The sequence below is a fragment of the Homo sapiens genome, chromosome 21 (assembly GCF_000001405.40).
Source record: "Homo sapiens chromosome 21, GRCh38.p14 Primary Assembly".
Taxonomy (NCBI): domain Eukaryota; kingdom Metazoa; phylum Chordata; class Mammalia; order Primates; family Hominidae; genus Homo; species Homo sapiens.
Window position 1 is genome coordinate 34,133,953 of NC_000021.9, and position 10,348 is coordinate 34,144,300.

The 10,348-nt window shown below is 41.2% G+C and overlaps 1 protein-coding gene and 1 pseudogene across 1 annotated transcript in view; one reads left to right on the top strand and one right to left on the bottom strand.

Annotated features, from left to right (window-relative positions):
* Positions 1-9,078, top strand: part of MRPS6 (mitochondrial ribosomal protein S6) — a 69,453-nt gene extending 60,375 nt beyond the window's left edge. Inside the window, exon 3 of the mRNA NM_032476.4 lies at positions 8,456-9,078. Coding sequence (NP_115865.1) covers positions 8,456-8,648 — 193 coding nt within the window. The 3' untranslated portion in view covers positions 8,649-9,078. The remainder of the gene's footprint in view (positions 1-8,455) is intronic.
* RPS5P2 (RPS5 pseudogene 2) lies at positions 1,425-2,176 on the bottom strand (annotated as a pseudogene).
* Positions 9,079-10,348: the final 1,270 nt, after the last annotated feature.

Sequence of the window (10,348 nt, forward strand, 5' to 3'; positions counted from 1 at the left end):
AGGAAAAAAGCATTGGGCCCCTGTTGGGTGAGAGTTCCCTGTACTGCCCACCAGGTGGCCAAATGGAATTATTGTGGGGCAAGGGGAGTGACTGGGTAAAAGGCTGAGGGTTGCAAGGAGGTGGTGATTTGAGGTTGATCACACTATTTTAAGCTCTGTTCCAGAGCCTAACTCAAAGTAAGTAATCAATAATTAAATCTTGAATAAATGAGTAATTCATAAGTTGGGTCATTGCAACCCTATTACCTGCTATATGGAGTAGAAATAAGCAAGTGGAATTAAACCTTGGAAAATGTGGCCAGGATTATGTGTAGTTTTCAGAGTGAGCCCAAGTGGCAGTCTTGTCAGTGAGCAAATGTGCAAGTCACTGCTTCAAGAAGTTTGTGGAATAGTGGATTCGTTTGTACCGTTTTTATTTCGTTGCTTAAGGAACCCTGGGAGTCTTCATCAGCTGTAATTGCTCCCTGTTGCCTCCATCCCACATCAGCTCATTGACCAAGTCCTGCCCATTCAGCTTCTAAACTGCCATTTTAAAATCATCAGCTTTATAGCGATGATTAGCATGTAATAAACTGCATATATTTAAAGTGTATAATTTAATAAGGTTTGACATATGTATACACTCACAGAATCACCACGGTCAAGATAATAAACATATTTGTCACCCCTAAAATTTCCTCCTCCTCCTTCGATTCCTTCCTCTACTTGTCCTTCATCCCAAGCAACCACTGATCTTTTTTCTTTCACTGTCGATTTTTTTCGACTTTATGATGGTGCAGAAGTGATTGCAGATGCAGTAGAAGCCGTACTCAAATACCCAAACAACCAGTCTGTTTTTCACTCTCAGTAAAGTATTCCGTAAAATTACATGAGCTATTCAACACTTAATGTAAAATAGGGTTTGTGTTAGATGATTTTACACAACTGTAGGCTAAGCGTTCTGGGCATTTGGCTAAGTGATGTTAGGTTAGGTGGTGTATTAAATGCGTTTTCAACATAAAATATTTTCAATTTACGGGTTTATCGAAATGCGTATATTGTAAGTTGAGGAACATCTTTTTTTTTAGACTTACATAGAATTGGATGGTATTGGACCCCTTTTACTCTAGTTTCTTTCACTCAGCATAATTATTTTGAGATCAATAGTGTGTATCAATAGTTCACTCCTTTTCATTGCTGAGTAGTATGGCATTGTATGTAGTGAATATTTGTTTTTTTCCAGTTTGGGGTTGTTATAGGTACAGCTGCTGTGAACATTTGTGTACAAGTTGTTGTGTGGACACATGCTTTAATTTCTTTGGGGTAAATACCTAGCAGTGGAATGGCTAGATCATAACTGTAGGTGTATGTTTAGGAAAGTGCCAAACTATACCAGCAATGTATATGAGAGCCGGTTTTTTTTTTTTTTTTTTTTTTTTTTGTGGTGGCGTGGGGTTACCCCAAAGGGCAGACTGGTTTATTGGGCATCAGCTGGGAAAATCAGCGGTTGGACTTGGCCACACATGCCAGCTCATCCTTCTTCTTGATGGCAAAGGAGTTGGAGGAGCCCTTGGTGGCAGTGATGAGCTCATCTGCCAGGCACTCAGCAATGGTCATGATCTCCCGGAGGGCACCCTCAAGAGTGCCTGTGCACAGCAACCAGGTGGTCTGATTCACATGGTGCAGTGGGGACACGTCCACAGCCTGTCATCTCACAGTCCCTGCTCACCCAAAGCCTGTGGAGTCCTCCTGGGGACCACCATTGATGATGGTGTTCACCAGGACCTGGAGGTGAGGGTTCTCGCCTGTGAGCAGGTGGATGAAATGGAAGGCATACTTGATGATGCGCACAGTCATGAGCTTCTTGCTGTTGTTGTGGCCATGCATTATCATGGAGTTAGTGAGGGACTCCACAATGGGGCACTGAGCTTTGCAGAAGCGTTTGGCAGCATAAGGCCCTGCATTGTGAGGCAGGTACTTGGCATACTTCTCCTTCACTGCAATGGAATCCTGCAGGGAAATGTCACTGATCTGCATATCATCATTTGTGCTGCATCATTGATCTGCACAGCGTCCACTTCCCAAAGAGCTTGGTGTCAGGGGTCTCTACCACTGCTGGTGCTGTCTCCCACTCGGTCATCCAGAGGGCACAGCCCGAGTGTCTCTGTTACTTGGCGTGGACCTCGTGCCACCCTGGAGTGCCAGTTTTTCTTTTCTTTTTTCTTTTTTTTTTTGAGACGGAGTCTTGCTCTGCCACCCAGGCTGGAGTGCAATGGCACGATCTCTGCTCACTGCAACCTCCGCCTCCCAGGTTCCAGCAATTCCCCTGCTTCAGCCTCCCAAGTAGCTGGGATTACAGGCACGTGCCACCATGCCTGGCTAATTTTTGTATTTTTGGTAGAGGTAGGGTTTCACCATGTTGGTCAGGATGGTCTCGAACTCCTGACTTCAGGTGATCTGCCTGCTTCGGCCTCCCAAAGTGCTGGGATTACAGGCGTGAGCCACCACATCCATGGAATGCTAGTTTTTCTTACATCCCTGCCAACACTTGGTGTGGTCAGCCTTTTTAATTTTATGGCACTTTAGTAGGTATCTCTTTGTGGTTTTAATTTGCATTTCTCTCATGACTAATGGCTTTAGGCATCTTTTCATGTGCTGCTTTGCCATCGTATGTCTTCTGTGAAATGTCTGTTCAAATCTTATGACCATTGTTTAAAAGTTTTTTTAAATTAAGTTTTGAGAGTTATTTGTATTCTAGATACAAGTCCTTTATCAGACTTCTAATTCGCAAATCTTAGTGGCTTTTTATTCAAAGAGCAGTTTTTAATTTTGATGAAATCTAATTTATCAATTTTTTCTATTATGGATTTTGGTTTTGGTGTTGTGTCTAAGGAAACTTTGCTTAATCCAAATTTACAAAAGCTTCTAAGTTTTATAGCTTTATATTTTACATTTAAATCTGTCCCATTTTGAGTTAATTTTTTAAATGGTACAAGTAGGGAAGAAAGTTCGGTTTTTTTGCGTGTGGATACTGGATTATTTTAGCACCATTTGTTGTAAATCTCTATTTTTGTACTCCATTCTAGTCTTTTGATCTCTCTGTGTATCTGTACATGAATATCATACTGTCTTGATGGCCATAGCTTTATAATAAGTCTTGAAATCAGGTGGTGTTAGTCCTTCAACTTACATTCTCTATCAGAGTTGTTTTGGCTGTTTTAGATCCATTATGAACTTTCTAATCAATATTCTAGGGTTTTGATTGAGGTTCTACTGAATGTCAATAGATTTTATTTCAGTAAAATAAATAATAGATCTCAATTTTTGTTTAACTTGGAGAGGGTTGACATCTAAATTTTGAGTCTTCTTACCCGTGAACAAGATATACCTGATAGATTTTGTTTCTTTCAGCAGCGTTTTGTAGTTTTGCATACCTTTTGTCTGATTTCTCTGCAAGTATTGAATGTTTAATTCAAGGTCTGATTATTTGTTACTAGTATATAGAAATAACATTGATTTTTGTATCTTGCAATCCTGCTAAACTCATTAGTTCTATTTTTTTTATAGATTTCTTAATACTTTCTCAAAACACAATCATGTCATATGCAAATAAGACAGTCTCACTTTTTGCTTATCAGTCTAGGTACCTATTCTTTTTCTTGCCTTACTGCACTGGCTAGAACCTCCATTTCAGTGTTGAATAGAAGTGACAGTGGACTTTCTGGTTTGTTCCCAGTCTTAGGGGAAGAACATTTAGATATTCACCAGCTGGTGAAATGTCAGCTGTAGATTTTTCAAAGATGCTCTTTATAAGTTTGAGGGAGGTCACTTCTATCCCTAGTTTGCTGAGATTTTTTTTTTTTTAATCAGGAATGGCTATGGATTTTGTTAAATGCTTTCATTTGTGTTTGTTGAAATGATCATATGGTGTTTCTTTTTTAGTTTGTTAATATGTTTTAATTTGAATTACATTTTTTTTCAAATGTTAAGCCAATCTTGCATTCTTGGGATAAAGCCTGCTTGGTCATGGTATATTGTATTTTTTAATATATGATAGTAGTGAATTTGCTAAAATTTTGTTTAGAATTTTAAAGTGTGTATTCTTGAGGGACATTCATCTGATTTCTTGTAATGTCTTTGGTTTGGGTATAGGGTAATGCTGGCTTCACAGAACAAATTGAGATGTGTCTTCCTTTTTTCTCGGTGAATTTGTATCAGAATTGGTATTTTTGTCAGATGAGTAGGTTGCGAAAATTTTCTCCCATTTTGTAGGTTGCCTGTTCACTCTGATGGTAGTTTCTTTTGCTGTGCAGAAGCTCTTTAGTTTAATTAGATCCCATTGGTCAATTTTGGCTTTTGTTGCCATTGCTTTTGGTGTTTTAGATGTGAAGTCCTTGCCCATGCCTGTGTCCTGAATGGTAATGCCTAGGTTTTCTTCTAGGGTTTTTATGGTTTTAGGTCTAACATTTAAGTCTTTAATCCATCTTGAATTAATTTTTGAACTACTCATCTAACAAAGGGCTAATATCCAGAATCTACAATGAACTCAAACAAATTTACAAGAAAAAAACAACCCCATCAAAAAGTGGGCAAAGGACATGAACAGACACTTCTCAAAAGAAGACATTTATGCAGCCAAAAAACACATGAAAAAATGCTCACCATCACTGGCCATCAGAGAAATGCAAATCAAAACCACAATGACATACCATCTCACACCAGTTAGAATGGCAATCATTAAAAAGTCAGGAAACAACAGGTGCTGGAGAGGATGTGGAGGAATAGGAACACTTTTACACTGTTGGTTGGACTGTAAACTAGTTCAACCATTGTGGAAGTCAGTGTGGCGATTCCTCAGGGATCTAGAACTGGAAATACCATTTGACCCAGCCATCCCATTACTGGGTATATACCCAAAGGACTATAAATCATGCTGCTATAAAGACACATGCATACATATGTTTATTGCGGCACTATTCACAATAGCAAAGACTTGGAACCAACCCAAATGTCCAACAATGATAGACTGGATTAAGAAAATGTGGCACATATACACCATGGAATACTATGCAGCCATAAAAATGATGAGTTCATGTCCTTTGTAGGGACACGGATGAAATTGGAAATCATCATTCTCAGTAAACTGTTGCAAGGACAAAAAACCAAACACCGCATGTTCTCACTCATAGGTGGGAATTGAACATTGAGAACACATGGACACTGGAAGGGGAACATCACACTCTGGGGACTGTTGTGGGGTGGGGGGAGGGGGGAGGGATAGCATTAGGAGATATTCCTAATGCTAAATGACGAGTTAATGGGTACAGCACACCAGCATGGCACATGTATACATATGTAACTAACCTGCACATTGTGCACATGTACCCTAAAACTTAAAGTATAATAAAAAAAAATTGGTATTTTTGCCTTAAATGTTTGGTGTAATTCACCAGTGAAGTCATTTGGGCCTGTAATATTCTTTGTGGGAAGCTTTTAAACTTCTTTAATAAGATATAGGGCTTAAGGGTTTAAACTACACATATTTCGTTAATAAGATATAGGGCCATTCAAGTTATCTGTACTTCTTGAGTGAGGTTTGGTAGTCTGTGTTTTTCAAGGAATTTGATCATTTCATCTGAGTTGTTAAATTTAATGCTTTTTTTTGAGACAGAGTCTCGCTCTGTCACCCAGGCTGGAATGCAGTGATACAATCACGGCTCACTGCAGCGTGGACCTCCTGGGTTCAAGTCATCCTCACACTTCAGCCTCCCCAGTAGCTGGGACTACAGGCACACACCACCATGCCTGGCTAATTTTTGTAGTTTTTGTGGAGATGAGGCTTCACCATGTTGCCCAGGCTTTTCTCAGACTCCTGGTGTCAACTGATCTGCCTGTCTAGGCCTCCCAAAGTGCTGGTATTACAGGTGTGAGCCCCAGCGCCTGACCTTGCAAAAATTTTTTATAATATTTCCTATTATTTTAATATTTATGAAATCTGTAGTTGTTTCACCTTTCTCATTCCCAGTGCCTTTAATTTATACCTTACCTCTTTTTACTCAACAGTCTGGCTATAGAGGCCCTTACCTCTTTTTACTCAACAGTCTGGCTATAGAGGCATATCAATTTTACGAATCTTCTCCATGAACTAGTGTTTGGTTTCATTGATGTTCTCTGTTTTTCTTTTTTCTGCTTTGGGGATTTCTCCTCTCTCTCTCTCTTCTCATCTTACTGGATTTAATTTGCTCTTTTCCTAGTTTCTTAAAGTAGAAGCTGAGACTATTGATTCGAGGCCTTTTTTTTTTTCTTACCTAGGTGTTCAGTAGATATGAATTTCCTGACAAGTATTGCTTTCATGGCATCCCCCAAATTTTGATTTGTAGCATTTTCTTTTTCATTCAATTCAAAGTACTTTGTAATTGCCCTTTTGATTTCTCCTTCTACCTGTTTGTCCAGCTTATTTAGATATCTGTTTAGTTTCCAAGTGTTGAGGCATTTTTCGAAGATTTTTGTGTATAACTTGAATCCCTTTATGTTATATGGCCCAGAATATGGTTGGCCTCGGTAAATGTTCTGTGTACACTTAGGAAGAATGTCTGTCTTGTGATTGTTGGGTAAAGGGTTCTATAAATGTCAGTTAACTCCACTTGGTTAATGTTGGTGTTCACTTTTTCTATATCCTTGGTGATTTTCTGTATAAGTAGTTCTATCGATTACTGAAAGAGGAATGTTAAAAGACTTCAGCTGTGATTCTGGATGTGTCCATTTCTCTGTTCAGTTCTGCTGTTCTTATATGTTGAAGCTCGGTTATCTGGTGCATGTATATTTAAGATTGTTACATCTTGGTGGACCCATTATTATGTATTGTCTCTTTTTATTCCTGGTAATTTTCTTTGCTCTGAAGTCTGCTTTGTCTGATATTACTGTAGCCACTTGAGCTTGCTTTTGATTAGTGTTTTTGGTTGGTATATATTTTTCTGTCCTTTTATTTAATTATATGTTTACTTGAATAATTATTCCACTAGGCTTGGCTTTAAGAGTAAATGGTCACTTGGTAAATTTACTTACAAGTTTTGAACCTCTTTGCCCTTTGTCTGGAATTACACAAAATGCCATCCCTTTTCTCATAAGTTCCTTCCTTGCTGAATTTGTTCCTTTTCAACTTGATCTTCCCAGCTTCCTGTGAGAGCTCCACATTTCATGCTAACACCATCACGGTCAAAGATTTACTCTGGACCTGCTCCGTGTTCGTCTCTATTCGGAGTGCTAGGGTTAACACCAGAGCCTTTCTTCCTATGGCAACTGTGCTTTAGTGGAGTGAGGCAGACAGTAAGCAAATGCATACTGTGCCAGTGGTGAGAACGTACTTTGTGGAACAAAACAAAGCCTTGAGTGAGGGCAATGGAGAGTGAGGGGCCTTGGTGGAGCTAGGAGGGTGCTGCTTTAGGAGAGTGGGCACAGAAGGTCTCTCTGAGAGGGTGACATTTGGACAGAGACATGATAGAAGCAAGAGATGAGCTATGTGGAAGTTGGGCGGAGAACATTTCCAACAGAAGGACCAGCGAGTACAAAGGCCTGGGAGGGGAATGTGCTTGGGAGTCCTGAGAACCACATGTATGCCTAGAACAAGGCAAGCGATGACGAAAATTTCATAGTTTTAACCAGCTAGAACATTGCAGGATTTTGAAATACTGCCCTGAAAACTGACCTTTAGTCACATAATGGTCCAAATCAGACAGTACAAGGGAGGCTTAACCTTTTAGGTCTGAGAGGAGCCAGGAGTGGGTAGGGATGGGCTCTTTCCTTGCACTGTCAGCCAGCAGGCTGCTGAGGACCTTGTCAATCTTTGAAGACCAGTGAGCCGTGCGGGATGCCCGTCGACATTAGTCTGGTTTGAGTGATGAGTGGTAAATTCTTTTTCTTACTTAAGGTTCCAGTAATTTTCTTTTTGTTCCTTGTCCGTATTGAACATAGTTGTAGACCAGTCCCATGCCTTTCTTAATCTTTTCCCATGTTTGTGGGCTCATGGTTCTCTTAGGTGTGTTAGTTCACAGGGAAAATCCTTTGAAAAGTTAGAAGAGTATCTAATAGATGTTTTCACACACACACACAACATTAATGAATAGTTTGGAAAATTCAGTCTCGTCAATGGATTAGAAGTTTTCCCCCATGCTTTCTAGTACTTCACACCATCTGTAATGTCACAGTGTGTTTTTGCTGCCATAAAGCTGGTTTGGATTCATATTTTCACAAGAGTGTAATGGGAAAGACCATAGAAAAAGGGAGATTGGGCTTAACACTGCAATTCTGTTTAGCTGGTCAGCTGGTAGTTTCTATTTTGACAAGGTTATGTGTGTGTATGTGTGTGTTTGTGTGTAGTTGATGTCTGTCTAGGAAGAGTAAAATGGAAACACTGACCAAAATAGTAGAATTATTACAATTCAAATGCAGACACTCACAAGTTTTTATTTTATTGCAGGTATTTCTTGGTGGATTTTTATGCACCCACCGCAGCTGTTGAAAGCATGGTGGAGCACTTGTCTCGAGATATAGATGTGATTAGAGGGAATATTGTCAAACACCCTCTGACCCAGGAACTAAAAGAATGTGAAGGGATTGTCCCAGTCCCACTCGCAGAAAAATTATATTCCACAAAGAAGAGGAAGAAGTGAGAAGATTCGCCAGATTTTAGCCTTATATGTAATTCCTTCACATTTGGGCAGCATGGACGAGAAGGAAGAATTTGCAAGTTTGGCCTTTATATAAGCATGTGTTGCAGGTGCTGTTTGATTTTTCTAAGGTATTTTTAGCCCTTGATCCCCTTTGCTTGCGAGAGGTGGGGAACTGCTCACTGACAGCTTCTCTGTAACCTGCAGTACCAGTGGATCGTTCTTGATTTTGTTTTCATTAGTGTCATTTCTTTGTCATTGAGGACTTTTCCCCTTACAACAGTAACACCATTTTTTGAAGAGCAAAACTTATAATACCTCCTGGGATTGTGAGCTAGTCATTCAGCCTGTGTAACCATGTGGAAATAAAAATTGACGACCAATGTATTATATGGACAACTTTTGCTTTGAGTAATAAACTTGATTGTAGGAATGTGGGAGGTGTTTTGTCCCTTTACTTACCCAGTGCAGTGCACTTCCAGGGCCCCGCAGCTCCAGTCTAGCTGGCAGTGCCTGGCAGTGTCGGGGAGGCATTACCCAGTACCCACTGAGGTCCAGAGCCGGGGTGGGGCAGGGGAGGAGGGGTGTCTGTCTGTTCCTTACTGGGCACGCCACAAAATCAGTGACTTTTCCCTGCACACCTCACTTGTCATTGTGGTTTGTGCTGCTCTTTGTGGTGGGACGTGTGTTCTGGTGCAGTTAAGGTCTCATGCTGCTCCCTGTCATTCCTTTGCTACTAGCACCTGCCTCCTCCACTGTCCCTCATCCCAGGGCAGGCCTCTTGTAGGAAGTAGCCTCCTGGCAGTGGCATGGCTTCCAGGATGGGTGAGGATGAGGTCGTTTCCCAAAACAGTCACCTGCATCTCTTCCTCGGTCTCCTCGGGGCTGATTGGAAAGACTTGACTAGCCCTTCCCCCTTCCCAGGGGGTGCCCTGCACAAGGTGTCTGTCACCATCACAGATGACGGAACTTCTGCACATAAAATGTTGGGGGAAGTGCCGGTTCTGGGAATCTCTGAAAAGCAGGAAGGAGCCGAGAGTTCTGGCCTCTGCTTTGTTTTTAACCATGGCAAGACCGGAGGATGGAGAGATGTGCAAGAGATGCCCAAAGCGCCAGGAGGGCCTGGTCTCCCAGCTCTGGCCCAGCGCCTCCTCCCTCTGTAGCAGCTGCCTGTGTCTGCACTGGGTCATCAGTGTTGTCGCCTTGCTTATTAAGAACTCAGGCGGTATCCAGCTTAACTTCCTCCAGAGGCAAAAAGCTATAAAAAGTCTCTCTGAAGAGCAATAATTCAGTGAAGAGGCTCATTAAGAACTGTAGACTGGAAATAAAAGGGGTAAAGATTATCTGGGAAAATATGCTACTTCCTGTTTTATTCGGAATTTCCTGAAAGCGCAGGCTCTCGGTCAGGGCTCGCGAGAGCACCAACTCTCTAGCAGACACTTTGTGTCCTGATGTTCTTTGACTCGGTGCGATCTGAGGTCCATTTTGCTTGGAGTTTATTAAACGCACGCCATGTGCCATGCTGCACACTTATGTCCATTCCCTCAGTTACTCCTTTCAGCAGCCCCAGGAAAGGCAGCATTGCTATACCTGTTGCTTGGACTAGGAAACCCCCACTCAGATTTGCCCTTGACCCCACAACTGCCAGTGATAGCTGGAATCTTGAACTAGGGACCCTGATGCCATCTGTTTTTTCCTTCTTG